Source organism: Homo sapiens, chromosome 5, assembly GCF_000001405.40.
Source record: "Homo sapiens chromosome 5, GRCh38.p14 Primary Assembly".
Lineage (NCBI taxonomy): Eukaryota > Metazoa > Chordata > Mammalia > Primates > Hominidae > Homo > Homo sapiens.
The window spans coordinates 65,016,838-65,034,093 of record NC_000005.10 but is presented as its reverse complement, the minus strand read 5'-3'; the positions used below and the strand labels follow the sequence as shown (position 1 = coordinate 65,034,093).

General features: G+C 40.1%; 1 protein-coding gene across 2 annotated transcripts in view, besides 1 other annotated feature; it reads right to left on the bottom strand.

The window, feature by feature from the left end:
- Nucleotides 1,262-2,461: an enhancer, noted in NCBI's record as "BRD4-independent group 4 enhancer chr5:64327460-64328659 (GRCh37/hg19 assembly coordinates)". NCBI's record gives its function as "activates an origin of replication core promoter dependent on BRD2, P300/CBP, MED14 and CDK7 cofactors, and independent of BRD4, by STARR-seq in HCT116 cells {active_cell/tissue: HCT116}" and the evidence as "EXISTENCE:reporter gene assay evidence [ECO:0000049][PMID:35650434]".
- The window catches only part of CWC27 (CWC27 spliceosome associated cyclophilin), a 249,846-nt gene continuing 247,920 nt past the window's right edge, over nucleotides 15,331-17,256 (bottom strand). Inside the window, exon 13 of one of the 2 annotated variants that reach the window (NM_001297644.1) lies at nucleotides 15,331-15,935. In NM_001297644.1, the coding sequence (NP_001284573.1) occupies nucleotides 15,912-15,935 (24 nt within the window). In that variant the 3' untranslated portion in view covers nucleotides 15,331-15,911. The remainder of the gene's footprint in view (nucleotides 15,936-17,256) is intronic. The other variant, NM_005869.4, reaches the window with a different exon arrangement.

The window sequence follows — 17,256 nt, the reverse complement described above, 5'->3', positions numbered from 1 at the left end:
CTCGCTTGATTATATTTCTTTGGATGAAATATGATATCTTTAATGTTTTTTGGGATCAAGGGTCTGAGTGTGGGGAGAAGAGGCTCCTAAGCCACAATCAGCAGCTTGATTCCCTATCACCTGTTTGGAGCTCATGGTAACCAGAGTCAACAACTAACAGGATTTAGGAGAAACAGCAGCAGGTTTATGTAGCTCAGAAAGATAGTCCAGTTCCAAGACATGGGAGGAATAGATAGGGATATTTGGTAGCTGCTCAAATCAGAGCTTCTCAAACTGGCATTCATCATCAGAATTACCCAGGAAACTTTAAAAAATATCGAGTCCCAGAGTTGGGAGTGGGACAGACATCTGTGTTTTTCGAAGTTTTTGAGTGATTCTAACATCAGCCAGAGCAGGGCCTCTGGCTTATGGCTTGGACCACCTCAAATCAGCAGCAGCACCCAGCTTAGGTGACGCAGCATACGTGGGGTTGGGGTTGCTTTTAGAACTGTAGAAGACTGATCCCTGGGGAGCCCTCTGAGGGATCAAGCTAAGAGCTTCCCAGGTTTCAGAGATACGTTTGGCCCAGTCTTCTAAAATTCTAGCCCTGCTATTGGAGATAGCCTTAATACCGGGGACTCAGAGCAGAAGGGATCTGGGAAGAGGACAGAAGCATCTAACCTCCTGAGTAACCAGTAGGAAAAAGCTTAGCAGGTACCTAAAACACAGAGAGAGGGTTTTGGGCTCTGGTCCAAGAACCACCAGTGGCGAGAGTAACAGGAGGATCCAAGATGGCTGCACAGCTCTGCTGAGCATATATCCATTTGGTTACCTGCTCAGCCAGCAAAGACGAGATGTAAGGTAAAGCTTATAGGAGTCTGGAACCCAATATTAGACAAGGATTCTATACTACTCAAGCTTTGGCTGAAGGAGGAAATAATATTAATAATAGACATTACTAAACTAATGCTGTCGTGGTTAGCATTTATTGATCATTGTGCTAATCATTTTATACTTTAAACTCAGAAAGTTTAGGTATATCCTCTAAGGACTCCCAGCTAGTTGGTGGCAGGGACAGAACTTGAACAAAAGGTTAGAGTGTGAGCTCTTTTGATGTCTGATTTCCCATTTCACAGGCCTGTTTACTTCCAGAAGGGAGTTGAACACAAGTTGAAGAGTTGGAGTGGTGGCGGTGAGAGCAGCTCAGGGAGTAAATGATAGTAATGCTAAAAAATGCAAAGTGCAATTAATTTTAAAACTCACATCTTACATATTTACATTGTTGTTTCAATGTAGTTGCTCATAGTCTGAGATCTTAATAGGTCCATGCCATCTTAATGTCAACCTGAGGATTAGGTAGGAACATAGCAAACAAGGCAGTGGACCTAGGGGTTGATTAGGTTCTAAATCATATTTTAATAAACAACTGTTCATACTTTTCCAGAATCATTTAAAGGGAAACCAGAGTAATCTTGTTAGTACAACCCTCACATTTTAGCAATGTCCTTAAAGTGCTCACCAACTCAGTTTGAGGAGATTGGCAATGACTTGGAAATCATGTCATCCTTGTAATACAGACTTGAGAGTCCAGTGAGGAAAGAGTGAAGGAAATGACAAAGCACCCTTTGGAGGATGACGACAGAAATGTACGCATGAAAATAATCACACCTCAGGGATCTCCGAGGGCCTGCACGCACTACCGATTACTCACCCGTTGTAAGGTCTCCCAGCATTAATCCATCTTGGCAGTAGGAAGAACATTACCAAATGACTACATTGCCTGCTGGCTTCTTCCAGTCTCCTGGCTGGAAAAGCAAATGAGTGAATATTCACTCTGGAAGATGGAATTGTTTCCTGTATAGAGTCTACTTCATGGAGGTTCTTCAGGCAAGTAAACCAGGATATGAAATATTTTTTGTGCACCACATTCTAACAACTTCTGGAGCATCTAAATCCTGTCTTGGAAGCAGTTTCCTTAGGGTTTAACCAGGCATTAAACCAAGGTCAATGACAACCAAGGCCAATGACAACCAAGGCCATTTTCTAGTTGTACAGTAATTCTAGGGGAAAAACTACTTGGTTTTTGAAGGTGCTTTAATGTTTTTAGGTCAATATTTACTTCACTTCCTGCATATAAGGTGGTTGAAGAAAAAGTGCACTTATAAAAAAACAAAATAAAAACAAACCCCCCTCCCCTCCCCATAAGTTTTACTTACCAACAGTAAGAAAAATAGAGGATTAAAGACAAAAAGAGCTGGCATTCATATGTTGGAAGACTTTTTTGAGTGTCACAGATTTTTAAATAGCTGTCTTTTTTTTAGGTGGTTCTTGATGGGATTGTCTGGAGGGAAAAAAGGCCCTGTTATTAAACAAGGCTCAGGAGACATCGAGTGTTTTGGATAGTTAAAGGGAGTAGGGGGTGAGCTACCATGCGCAAGAGAGGTGAGTGTACCATTCCAGCACACTACTAACCCTTGTTAGCATAGAGATTTTCTTTGGAGAAAGACGCTAAATACATTACCCACATTATGCATGAAGAGAGGGTTTACCCAGGAGCTTAAGGCAGGTCATGGACCATATTAGAATGTCATCCAGGAACCCAATGATGCCACAGCCCCGTAAGTCATGAAGACCTCATTCTACAACCTGGAACCATTACCAACCTATAGAAGAGACACTAGCTACTCGTCTAGCCCACAGGGCTGGGAAGAATGTCTGTTCCTCATTTTACTGGGTGGCCGTTGGATTGCAGGATTGGTGAAGAACCATCTTCCCCACAGTGCTTCAGAAAGTTGGGAGCCAGAAGCAGAGGGCTGTAGTTCAGCGATTGTGTGACCAGGGGGTCCTTGCTCCCAGAGCTCCCAAGATGGTGGCGGGCTGCTTGCAAAATGGCCACGGGCCGCTTCCAAACTGGCCGCAGGCCGCTTCCAAGATGGTGGCAAGCCTTGTGTTCTCTGACCTGGGGTTCTTGGGCTCACGGATTCCAAGGAATGGAATCTCGGGCCATGCGGTGAGTATTACAGCTCTATTAGAAGCCATGGGTCACGGAAGAGAACTGTGGAACCAAGTGACTAGTGTTCAGCTCCATTAGGGCGAACCCAGGCACTTAGCTGTGCAGGAATAAGGGCAAGCCTTTAGCCTGATCAGGAGCGGCAATGGGTACCTCACTGGATCAGGAGCACAGCGGACTCCCTGCTGGATCTGGACGGATGGAAGTCAGTGGCGGGTCTGCAGTGGCCGGAAACGGCAGTGGTGGATGGCGAGCGAAAGCTCAGCTCCAGCCCTAACAAACACGGACTGGAAGAGAGTGCAGTTGCAAGATTTAATAGAGTGAAAGCAGAGCTCCCATACAAAGGGAGGGACCCAAAGAGGGTAGCCGTTGCTGGCTCGAATGCCTGGGTTTATATCCTGATCATTGTCCCTCCTGCTGTGCTCTCAGGCAACAGATGATTGGCTATTTCTTTACCTCCTGTTTTTGCCTAATTAGCTTTTTAGTGAGCTCTCCTTACTACCTGATTGGTCGGGTGTGAGCTAAGTTGCAAGCCCCGTGTTTAAAGGTGGATGTGGTCACCTTCCCAGCTAGGCTTAGGGATTCTTAGTTGGCCTAGAAAATCCAGCTAGCCCTGTCTCTCAATTGCAGTGAGGACTCTTTAGTTCCTATGGAGTCTGACTTCTAGGTCTTTTTTAGGAACAAGCCATGGGCCTCTGCAGATGACATGGAACAACATATGGCTCAAGTCACAGATTATGTCACTAAGTCTGGAGGGCTGTGCCCTAAGTTTTTACAGGAAGGCAAGTATTTGACTGGAATCTTCACTGTGGGAAACAGTTAAGTGGTACAAGTTAAGGCATGTGGAAAAGACAGCATCTGAAGCTTCCACTATGCTAAACCTGTTAGCTATGAGGACCATTTTATCTCAGGGAGGACTGACCAGATTCCTCAGAACTGAAGTCTAAGAATGGAGTCCACAGAAAACAGGTGCAGGACAAGAATTGCTGGTAGGAAAGGGAGGAAGAGAATCAGGATTAAGAGAAGGCAAATAATTCCAAGAAGGTAGACTTGGATTTGGCAGGAAGAACAGCATGAGTGGTTTTCGTGAGAGCCGTTTAACAGAATTTCAGTACGAGTCTAAGGAGCATTTGGGCTGGCTAGCAAATGCAGAAGACTGACAGTGAAGGCGGAGGGAGGAAGAGCTGTACAGGTAAGCACTGCATAAGGGTGCCATGTCTAAAAAACATAATTCACATCACAAACAACATAGCTTTGATATTTAGTATGACGATTTTTTTCTTGCAGATTTAGTAGTGTTTCTTTTTAACAAAGTAAGTATATTATCACAATTTTCTGACATATGGAAGTAAAATGCCTTGGGGACCGGCTACCGTTTTCCAATTCATGCAAAGACAGCCTACGGACTAGCAATACTCCTGATGCGAAAAAGCTCAAAAGCCTCAAAAGGCATTCTATGATTCTACTAAAGTAGTAGAATCAATGAAATTTGTGAAAGAAGAATCTTCTGTTTATTTCTTACCCTGATCAATATAATGGTTCAGATGAGATATTGAAGGTTAATATTTTTATGTGGGGGATAAGAAAGAGATCAGTGGAAGTGAATCTTTCTGTTTTAACCTGTATCAGAACACAGGTACTGATGTTGTATATGTTCTGAAAATTCCTAAGGGTTTTCTTTTGCAATCCTATCTGGTCCTAACTCCCTCCCACTAGGCATGAGACCATTTCCTGTGGTTGCTAGATGTGATTTGAAGGTAGCAGGAGAATGGATAAGTGGGAAAGAATTACTACTCAAGTCAAAACCACTTGGCTTACATATAAAATTCTTGATGTGTTTCAAAAGCATCATTCAAAGCAAGTTGATAAATTAGACTTTTAATTGTGACATCGTAGGTAATGAAGAGTCTCTAGTAAAATTCTCCAAATTTCTTATTTTCTTTCCTATATCTTTGGGAAAAAGAAGTTTAGGAAAATGAGTCAGGTTTAAGGCAAATGGAACTATAGTACCAGAAAAAAATCCACTAATCTTTCTTGTAGGTATAGTTTGTGCTGCCAAAAAAGAAGCAGTTATATGATTATAGATAGAGAACAAATACTCTAATCTTGATGCTTTGATAGGGGACATTTCACTGATTAGCTTTTCGAATAACTAGTTGCTGTCTACTAAGTTTGAGATCTTTACTATAAAATAATTGCTATTGGAAGGCTATATTTAAATACCTGGAGAAATCACTCATTGTTTCAGTGATGTGAAATTTTTTTATTTTCTGTCTTATAAATAAGTGACTGACTTAAACTTGGAGCACTAGAAAGACTTACCAAGATCATTAATTGCATTTTCCCATCATGTAAACATTATGTTCAGGAAGGGGTGTAGTAGGAAGTTCTGGGAATTGGGAACAGACAAGCTGTCCTACTTGTCTTCTTGGCTTCTCTGATTGTATAGGTGTATTTGATGTTATGCAGTTTCTGTGAAAAATTTTGCATATCAAAGAATATGGTAAATTTACATAGGGGCTCATTATATAAAGAAATACCTAAGAGAATATGAGTCTTTGATTAAAAAAAAAAGCCTATTTTGCCATTTAAGATTCTCATGTCCATTTGATGTTTTTCATTCTTTCAGTTTTCTGCTCTAGGGCAGTGTCTAAGTCTGATTTCTGATTTTCAGAAAATAGGCATCAGAATTAGTTGAGTAAGCTTATTCAAAAAGAAACAAACGCAACAGATTCCTGGACCCCTACCCAGATCAACGGACTTGTCATTTCTGAGGCCTGGGAAACTCATTTTGACAAGATTCCTGCCCCTCCACTTCCTGCAGGGTGATTCTGAAGCACATTAATACATTTACGATTTCACATTCTGTGTTGTCGGGAGCAGGATGGAGATAGATTCTCAGTGCAGTACCAATCCATGAACAAAGAGAGATTAGTCTCTATTGAAGGTTCTTTCTCTGTTGAAATAAACAAAGGAGTAGTTTGAGAAAATCTGGGTGTATTTATAAAGGGCACACAACTGGCTGTGTGGGCTGATAGGCCTGGGGCTAAAAATATTTGAAACTGCAAAATTGCAAAACCGTCAAGTGTATGGATATTGAGAATTTTAAAAAATAAGATGGAGTATACTCTATCATGTAACTATTACAGTTTAAATCCTAATAAAGTGGAATTTGTGACTACAAGATCAACTTGATTCTTATCAAATACGATATTTGGAATTTTAAAAAGTTCTGTGAAATATCTAAACCAAGACTTGTACCTTCTAAAGTTTCATAAATTAGAGATTTAAAAAGTATCATAAATTCTTGAATTCAGCCTTTTATTCCTGCCTGTTAATAGGCTTCTCTAATGCTAATCTGTCAGGTAACAGGTGGTGTGCAATTTCTCATAATCTCATTTTATCTAATTTACTTATACATCTTAGTTTTTTAAGACTTTACATCTTAGTTTTTAAGACTTTTCACTGAAATTGTTTCTACCTGATAATCCTAATCTAGCATTCTTGATCACTTCATGAAACTGGGCTTAAAGGGAATTCAATTTAGGTAGCATTAAAATAATTAAGGAACCTGAATATGAGGGTTGTGTTGTGGTCTCTGAGTTCCCTCTGGCTGTAGGCCTGGCTGTAGCCCTTGGATGTGAGGCTGTGGGGAGGGGTCCTTTGGTTCATTACTGTGATGAGGCTGACAGCGGCTGCTTTCCCAGGCCTCAGAGTTTCCAGCCTTGGGGTGATGTGCAGTTTCACTCCCTTGTCTAGCCCATCATGACTTCCTGTTCTTTTTCTGTAATGTTTTTCAGATCTGCTTCTTCCTGTTGCCTTCCCAGGCCTGGGTCTGGTCCAGGCTTTAATTACCTCACACACACACCTGCACTCTTCTAATATCCTTTTTCCTGTCTACAACTTTTCCTTTCAGCATTTTTTCCCCCTCTTTACACAGAATTATCTTCCTTAAGCATCATTTCCATCACCCTCCTCTTCCAGCAGCTACCAATTTCATCAAATCCAATCTCCAGGTCCTCTCCTCCAAATCCCGCCTCTCTGCTTGGGCCTTCTATCTCCTCTACAGCTGGACTCTGCTTCAGCCAAGCAAACGGCCTGACACTATGTCTATACAATGCTATAACATCTGGTTAATCCAGTCAATTCTGTCAAATCTTCAGTTAATCATCTGGATGTTTTGTCTACAAGATGCCAAACATCTGGATTGACTGAAGAAATTCACTGCATTGATGAAAGTTTTTTTTTTTTTTTAAACTGAATTGACCAGATGTTTTGGCATCATGTAGACACATTGCTGTCTCCGACATTTGTCTTAATAACTTGTCTGCACAACCTTCTCCCCACCTGGAACATGACCTGTCTCCTCAATGCCATGTTTTCCCTTTCTTTCAAATTATGTTCAGAATTCTGTCTGCCACAAAGCAGTTCTAGATTAATCCCACTAAACCCATCTCTTGCTTCATTCTGGCATTCACTTAGTTTCTACATGTATAATACTTTTCAACTGAAATCGCTATGTTTTGTCTTTTTATTCTTGGGCATTGTCCTCCTCCTCAACCCCATTAGATCCTGAACTCCAGAGGTGAATCCAAGGTATATAATGAAAACAGTTGGGCTTGTGTAGTGAGAGGCTCTGCAGTCCAGTGACAAAGGGCAGAAACTCTGGAAGTTAGTCTTGTTTTGTACATCAGCTCCTCTGCTTACCATGTGACTTGGACAAATTATTTAACTTCTGTAAGCCTCAAGTCTCTTCCTCATTTGTGATATGGAAACGGTAATAGAGCCTACTTCATAGAGTTGTTTATAGGGATTAAATGAGTTGATAAAGTGCTTAGACAAGAGTCTGGCATCAAGTAAATATCCATTAAACGTTAGCACTTACCACTACAGGGGCTTTACCTTTGTAAAAGCTTGGTTTTCTTGTCTATTCTTTCTTTTGACTGTAACAACACCTTGACAGGTAGGTAAGGCAGCTGTGACTGTTCCCATCTGAGACAGGAGGAAACAGATGTCAAGAGGTTGTATCATTTGCCTATTAAATCAGTTGCAGGTCTGAAGCCTTACAGCCTTGCTTTCTATACGTCACATGCTGGCCCTCAATTCTTTGTAATCTCAGGACTTACAGCCCATCTGTGACAAAGTGTCTTATGTTAAATGAGAAAAAGACTGTGGTGGTATTTCCCTAAAGTTACATTTATTCAATTGTTAGAGCAGTCCCTGAAGTGAGGTTGTATCCTTCCTTCATTTTTAGTGTAAACGTGTCCTATCATTATGAAATGATGGTGACATTAAACTATAATATATGTAATAACCCTACATTGGATCCTGAGGGGTTTAGTCATTAATCCAACAAATATTTATTAAGTGTCTACTATTTGCTAGGCAGGGTTCTGGGCACTGGAACAACAGTGAACAAAACTGACAGAAATCCTTTCCTTCATGGAGGTCATTCTAGGGCAGGAGAGGGATGATAAAGAATAAATTAACCTCTTTAAGGCTCAGTTTCCTCATCTATACAATTGATAGCAAGAGTCCCTACTTCATGGGGTTGTTTGTAAGAATTAAGCAAATAAGGCAAAGTACGTGGGAGTTAATAGCCCTATTGAATACAACTAAACAGGGAGATTGAGAGACTGAGCGTGTGGGAGGGGTGGCTGGAATTTTAAAGTAGAGTGATTATTGTAGGCCTCATTGAGAAGGTGCCATTTGAGTAAAGACTTGAAGGAACTGAGGGAGTTGGCCATGTGGACATCCTAGGGGCAGTATTCTGGGTGGAGGGAACAGCCATTGCAGAGGCCCTGAGATGGAACACACCTAGCTTACTTGATGAACAGCAGGAAGGATAGTGTGGCTGGTGCAGAATAAGTGATGGAGAAGGTAGTAAGAGAGAAAGTCAGAGAGACTGAGAGGAAGAGGTGGTAACTGCAAAGAGCCTTAGGCCTTTGTAAGGACCTAGGCTTTTACTGTGAATTAAATGGGGAATCATTGAAGGGTTTTGAACAGATAAGTATAACAACATGACTTGTTTTATAAAGTGTAACTGGCTTCTATGTTAATAATAAATTATAGGAAAAAAAGGGTGAAAGTTTATTATAGCAGTCCACATGACAGTTGATGGTCCCTTTGACTAGGGTGGTAGCAGTGGGAAGTAGCAAATAATGGTAAAATTCTGGAAATATTTTGAAGGTGGAGTCAACAGAATATCATAACAGACTGAATGTGTGAGATAAAGACTGGAATCCAAGCTATTTGGCCTGAGTAACTGGAAATTGCATTATGGGCAATGCAATTATCACGTTGCCCATAATGGAGATGGGAAAATTACAGAGGAAGCAGGTTTGGTGGAGGCAGGGCTGGGAAGTGTAGATGACAGTTACATTTTGGACATGGTAGGTTTGATGGACATTATGGAATTTCACTCTGAAATGGATCTAGTCCTCACATAATATCATGTATAACTTTTCCAGATTAATTTAAAAATCACTTGTTGAATTCTTTTGTTCCTTGGGAAATAGTATCCCATTCTTAATTAGTCTATTCACTTACGCCAATAATATGGTATTGTTACAAAGTTTTGTAATAGAAATAAAATGGTCATATTCCTCTTATTCTAAATAAAATATTTCCTTAAAATTGCAAATTAAAAAATAATACACACCACACAAAAAGAAGGAAACCTTCTAATTGTAAGTTTACTCACAGCTGTTGAGAATGAACCATACAACATATACTTTAGTCATTTATTTTCCATACATGGTATGCTTCATTTCAAATATATTCTTTTTTTTTTTTTTTTTGAGACGGAGTCTTGCTCTGTCGCCCAGGCTGGAGTGCAGTGGCGCGATCTCGGCTCACTGCAAGCTCCACCTCCCGGGTTCACACCATTCTCCTGCCTCAGTCTCCCGAGTAACTGGGACTACAGGTGCCTGCCACCATGCCCGGCTAATTTTTTGTATTTTTAGTAGAGATGGGGCTTCACTGCGTTAGCCAGGATGGTCTGGATCTCCTGACCTCGTGATCCGCCCGCCTCGGCCTCCCAAAGTGCTGGGATTACAGGCATGAGCCACTGTGCCTGGCCTTTTTAATTAATTAAATAATTAATTTATTTATTTTTATTTTTTTTGAAACAGATTCTCGCTCTGTTGCCCAGGCTGGAGTGCAGTGGCATGATCTTGGCTCGCGGCAACCTCCGCCTCCCATGTTCAAGGGATTCTCCTGCCTCAGCCTCCTGAGTACCTAGGACTACAGGTGCGTGCCACCAGGCCCGGCTCCTTTTTTTTTTTTTTTTTTTTGAGACAAGAGTTTCGTTCTTGTTGCCCAGGCTGGAGTGCAATGGCATGATCTCAGCTCACCACAACCTCTGCCTCCTGGGTTCAAGCCATTCTCCTGCCTCAGCCTCCCGAATAGTTGAGATTACAGGCATGTGCCACCACGCCCGGCTAATTTTATATTTTTAGTAGAGATGGGGTCTCTCCATGTTGGCCAGGCTGTTCTCGAACTCCTGACCTCAGGTGATCCACCCATCTTGGCCTCCCAAAGTGCTGGGATTACAGATGTGAGCCACTGCACCTGGCTCATTTTTGTATTTTTAGTAGAGAGAGGGTTTCACCATGTTGGCCAGGCTGGTCTCGAACTCCTGACCTCAGGTGATCCTTCTGCCTCAGTCTCCCAAAGTGTTGGGATTACAGGCATGAGCCACCGCTTCTGGCCTCAAATATATTCTTATTAAAGTGTTTGAATATCATAATAAATCTCTAGAGTAAATTCAGAAAATAAATAGGAAAGTCACTTGAGTGTCCTGCTTTTAAAATTATCCTGATTACTTTTAAAAAGTGCCATAACTTTAGCAATGACTATCATTTTTGGCATCATGAGAATGAGAAAATAATAATTTCCTAAAAGACCAAGAACAGCTTCTTTCTGACTGGTGCTGTGAAGAAAGCCTCCAGAAGATGTTTAACATGAATTAGCACCATGATCTAATCTTAAGGAAATAATTCCCAGCAGATGTGGAAAAGAGAGGGACCAGACTCCTGTCTGCATTTCATTTAGAAGCCAGTCATCTTTCCTTTTCAGGTAGGATTTCTCACCCCCAACCCAAAATACAGTTTAAAATAAATTAAATAATGAATTTATACATTATTACTTACCTGGAATAATTCAAAGAACTATAATTACATTTCTTTCCTTTCCCCACCCAACGCTGTTTTTCCCCCCTGTAAGATTTGGTTGCATCTTGAATTGGACATATGACTAATTGGGGCAAAAAACACAAGAAGCAGGGGAAAAATAAATGTGAGGCAAGTGGTTTTGGAAAACTCCATCAAGAGAGAATCTAAAGATATAAACTGCCATAAAAATGTGGGGTACAGGTATTGCTAGAACTTAGAGGACGGTGTGAAGTAATTACATAAAATAGAAATATGCATGAAGACTGTGATCCTGGCAAAGGGTTCAAACCTTTGTGTAAGTTCTTTAGGGCCAATGCAAGAGTCACTGTATAAGCTTTTAGCTAGAATAAAACAGAATGGGAAAAATAACCAGTTTACTGGAGCTACTTTTGGTGGCTTGAAATCAGCCACGGTGAGAGGACTTATGTTGTGGAAATCAGTAAATGCTGCAAATGAGGGCTCTTCTTTCTTTTATTAAGGAAAGCTGGTTTACCAGCCTACCAATGAAAACAACTTTCACAGGGATTTCCACAGGGAATAATGAAACTCTTAGCACCTGTGACAAAGATCATCCCCTACGGCTTTGGTAGTGGTGGTAGTGATTTTAGGGAATGAGTAAATGTTTATTTCTACAAACACAGGACTTCTAAAGCCCATCCTAGTAAGATTTGGTGTTTCATTATTTCTCTCAGAATTCAAATTTCATCAAGGCTTTATTAGAAAGGATTTCTCTACAGTATGGTTCCTGTTTCACTTGTCTTCAGTAAAAGCTAAAAGAAGAAAGGAGATAAAATATACTTGGGACAGTTAAACTTCCTGCTTTCTAGTAAGCAGAAATGATACCACCTGATAAACTGTTCAGAGTTATTGGAACAGAGACAAAGCCATAGAGAACCTAGACCTGCTTTTGTGTGTGTGTGTGTGAGAATGACAGTGTTAAAGAATGTAACCTCTCTTAACTTCTCTACACCCATTACAGACAAATTGCTTATACTGATACAACCCTCAATGGTAACTCACTTCACACCTCCATTTTCTTTCTTGTTATCACCAAGATTAAACAGCATGTTTGGGCATTATTTTGCATGTATCTAACCTTTTCCATACAGGCCACAGTGCTACAACAGAACAGGTTTATGTACCTCACACGTCAGATCTTATCAAGGAACTTGGTAGTGACAGCTTGATAAGGACATCATAGCTGATTGAACTTGTGCTAAAAACAGCAGCAAACCACTCATCTCCTCACACTTTTTAATGACCTTGTTCTGTGGTAGCCCCATTTTTAGATGCAGCAGATGCATTACTGTGTGGCCTCAGAGGATACAGAGTGCTGAGGGCATGTGTATTGTTACACCATTTAGTATTCACCTATGGCTTTGATGGTGGTGGTAGTGATTTTGGGGAATAAATGAATAAATGTTTCTTTCTACAAACCCAGGACTTCTAATAGTAAGATTTGGTGTTTCATTATTTCCCTTGGAATTCAAATTTCATCAAGCCTTGCATTTTGTATTATATCATTAAAAATTCTAGAGAGATCTGCATTTGCCTCAATTACCTACTGAGAATGGAGAGGTCTAGGGTTAAACTTTCACCTTGCCAATGACTTCGACCATGAGAAAAACTGATTTGTCATAAAATGAGAAAAAAATTTGCTGGGAGTTGCTTTTCTCTTTGCTCTCCAGAACGTGCAGCATTGTCACAGACAATGAATAAGAATGCTAACTCATATAGCAAGGGAGAAATGTAAAAAACAAAACAAACAAACAAAAAACCAATGCTAACATACTTCCTTGTCTTAGGATAACATCCCTAGGGTAAGACACATAAAATAAAAATCCCAAATATGAAATTAAAATTAAAAGACTAATTTTCTAACATGTTTTTTGAATTTTTTTTTTTGTTTTGGGAATTCATTTGGCTTCCACACATTCCTGTGACATTTGCAAAAGGTTTACTGTGAACACATTTCATACAATATTGAACAGGTAATTCAACTACATTTTTAAGCTTTTTAAAAATTGTTATTGCTCTTATTCAGTTAAGTTTATGGTGAATTTTATTATCATGTTGAAGTTCTTCTGATAAAATTCTAATCTCTGTAGAATTTCAGATCTTTCTGCTCCTTGTGGTTAAAACAGGATGAGAAACATTCAACCAAACTGGTTTTAATTTTGTCATTCAGTTATCTTTTTAAACCTGCAAATAGTATTCTCTAATGTGTGCCCTGGAGGTCTGTGGTTTCCTCTGTTCCAGGATAACACTGCACTGGTTAAGGTGGACACAATCCAGGAGGAATGGTAGAGAAACCACAGGGTACTTCAACACAGACAGATTTAGTGGTAATATGTTTCAGAATAACCAACAGAGACTTTGTGAGTTTGGAAGATGAAATTCTGTTTTATCTGAAATAAAACCAATATTATAACCTTTATGGTGAGGGGAAGATGGGACACACTTCCAAGCACTGGCTTATTTTGGGGTGGCTTTGAGTCTGACCACTCTGCATTTGAGTGGGTTGACATTTTCTCAGAACACCTCAATCATAGCCCTCTCCTCCTCTTTGAAGCTCTCTCCTTCTTCCTGAAGCAAATAGAAAGGGTTCTTGTTAGTACTGGGGGTTCTTCTGTCTTCTCACCTCAGGTTCCAGATATAATCATAAAAAAATTGTGAAATATTTCAGATATTCCAAAATGTACAGAAAATGAGAACTGAGTATCTACCATCCAGCACTTAAAAAATAAAACATTACAAACACAAGTGAGCTCCCTGTGAATTCCTTCTCAGAGGCAAACACTATTTCCACATGTGTTTTTAAACTTTTCTACATATGTGTACATTCATAAACAATATATCATAATGAATTGTGTCTTAATTTTTATATAGGCGGTTTCCTTTTTTTCCACATTATTTTAAAGATCTGCTACTACATATAGCTCTGGTTTACTGATTTTCACCTCTGTAAAGTATTCCATAGTATGACTATTCAACAACTTATTTATCCATTCTTTGATTGATGCTTTAGTTTATAACTTAGTACTCCTTTCCTTGAGCAATATGTGAGAATTTCTTTAGGATTCCTAGGACCTAGAATTAGAATTTTTGGGTTATTGGATATACACATTTTTAACTTCACTAGATATTGCCAATATCAAAAGAGGTGGAACCACCAGGAGTGAGGCCCATCCATCTGTTTAACGAGCCCTCAGGGTTCAAAGTTTCAGATTCAGTAGTCTGAAAGAGAGGTGGTAGTGGTGGGTGGCATGGCCGAGAAGTTACATTTCTGACATGTTCTGAAGTGATGCTACTGCTGTAGTGTTGCATCTGGGATTACATTTTGAGAACCAGTGCTCTATGCTCTAGAGAAAGCCTATCAGATTACATTCTGAAAGAGAGAGCTGATGAGACATGATCTGAAAAGAAGTAGCTGGTGAGATTTTATCAGGTTAGTGGAATTAGCCCGTGATATAATTTTAGCATTCAGACTGTAATATATAATATAGATAATATACAGTAAATAACCAGTATGGGCCAGTCGCAATGGCTCATGCCTGTAATCCCAGCACTTTGGGAGGCAGAGGCAGGTGGATCACCTGAGGCTGGGAGTTTGAGACCAGCCTGGCCAACATGGAGAAACCCCGCCTTTACTAAAAATACAAAATTAGCCGGGCATGGTGGCACATGCCTGTAATCCCAGCTACTTGGGAGGCTGAGGCAGAAGAATTGCTTGAACCCAGGAGGCGGAGGTTGTGGTAAGCTGAGATTGTGCCATTGCACTCCAGCCTGGGCAACAAAAGCGAAACTCTGTCTCAAAAAAAAAAAAAAACAAAAAACAAAAAACAAGTATGAATGATTGTCATCAAAAGCTAAATTCTTAATGAGTTTTTATTGTCAGAATGAGACCTCTGCATGTGCTCTTGGTATCGCTGTGCTGAGAAGGGCAGAGGAGTGGGCAGGGGGCCAGATGTCAGGCTGGGCATGCAGTGAGCCTGGCTGATGTTACTTAGAGTGTTAAAGTATCTTGACTGTGCCCATAAAACCCAGGCACTGGCCTGCATGGAGGTGTGAATGTTCACTTGGGGGTTCCTCAAGACTGAAGGCATGAGGATATTGAGTTGTGCTGGCTTGGATATTTTGAAATATTTATATGCAAAAAACCCCATCCATATTTATATTCTATATTTTATTTATAATATTTTATTATATTCTGAAGTTAGTGAAAGGGAGGTTTCCCACAAATATTCTTTCTGTAGGAACTTCTTATAAAAAAATCTTGAAAAGGAAGCCTTCATATATTTTAGGGTAAAAGGACACAAACAGGCTTGCAGTCTGCAATGGTTAACATGTAATGTGGAAGGAAAGTTATTTTATTTCAGATTTAGCAATATAAAAGGTCAGCTAGGAAAAAACACATGTACCAGTAACCAAAAGCATTTGCTTACATCATTCCACAATTTGCAAAACAAGATAATTGTTTTTCAAAACCAGACAACAGGTTCAAAAATACTTCTTTTCACACCCCTAAGTGATGCTGTTGGGAACAATGGCTGTTACAAGGCCATTGTAGGCACATTTCCAGCAAGTTCTGGTTATCATTATTCTCATTTTATCTTCTTTCTTTTTTCTCTCTCATCAGCTTTTTGCTTTCTTCCCTCCTTCTTTTATTCACTGGATTCCGAGGATCATAGATTTCAAATGTATCTGAGTCTTGCATGCTTGCATCTTTCACTTTTCTGCTTTTATCCTCAAACTGAAGTACATGTGACATCCTAAATAGGGAGAGAGATGGTTCAGTGATTTCTTGCATGGGAACTTACAGTAGAAATTCTATACTCTACTATCATCGACATAATGAAACATAAGCATACAGAACACCAAGATGGGTTTGTTGTTTACTGGTGCTTACACCACATGGAAACCAACTTCTCAGAAAACCCTTAAATTTGAAAAACATGTCTGGAGTTTGTTCTGCTGGTTTGTATTTCTAGTAGAGAGTCTCTTTGCCTCAGTCTTCACTTGAGGTTTCTCCCCTGTTGGGAGGTTAAAAGAGTTCTATACAGAAGTGTTCCTCAAAGTAAACTCAGAGGACACTGTCTGCTTCCTTTAAAGAACACATTCCTTTAGCCAGAGTGAGTCAGGTTGCAGAGCAAAACTCAAGACAATAAGCCAGCCCTATCTGATTTTTAAAAATTTCAACAGTTACATGGGTCAAGAGTTGGGAATACATTAAGGTAATTTAAAAATGATGTTCAAATGGTGTTATGACTCTCTTTCCTGGGGAATTTGCTGGTTTAAAAAATATTTTCTTCATACAAAAGGAAACTAAACTTTTGACATAACTCTATGGACTAATTTCCTTCTACTGTTGATTACAACGAATCTAACGAATCCTGCTTTCTTACTTCATCAAAAGCTTACTGGTCTTAAGGTATCAGCATATGCTGGAATCCTGAGAAGTCATAAGCTAGCTATCTTTAGGATCAGCGAAATATGTTGGTAATTAGCTGTGCCCCATATGAGGTGCCAGGAATAAACAGGGAAGTCCAAAGAGCAGACTTCAGAACAGTTGAATGAATTTAGAAAGAGAAAAGTTCAATTTTTTTTTTTGAGATGGAGTCTCACTCTGTTGCCCAGGCTGGAGTGCAGTGGCGCGATCTCGGCTCACTGCAACCTTCACCTCCCGGGTTCAAGCGATTCTCCTGCCTCGGCCTCCCAAGTAGCTGGGACTACAGAGATTTGCCACCACGCCTGGCTAATTTTTTGTATTTTTAGCAGAGACGGGGTTTCACCATGCTGGCCAGGCTGGTCTCAAACTTCTGACCTCGTGATCTGCCCGCCTCGGCCTCCCAAAGTGCTGGGATTACAGGTGTGAGCCACCGTGCCCGGCGAAAAGTTCAATTTTCATACAAATAAAACTCTTAAGTCTTTTCCTACCAGTTATATCCTATACACACTTTTCTTCATCACAGCAGATAGGGTTAAACTGTAGGATTAATACTTCTTATATGCCTGTTGTAACTTTCAGATGAAACCCAAATATGATGCTAATATCTTTTCCCCCATATAAGCAGAGATCTGGGTAGTAGGTAG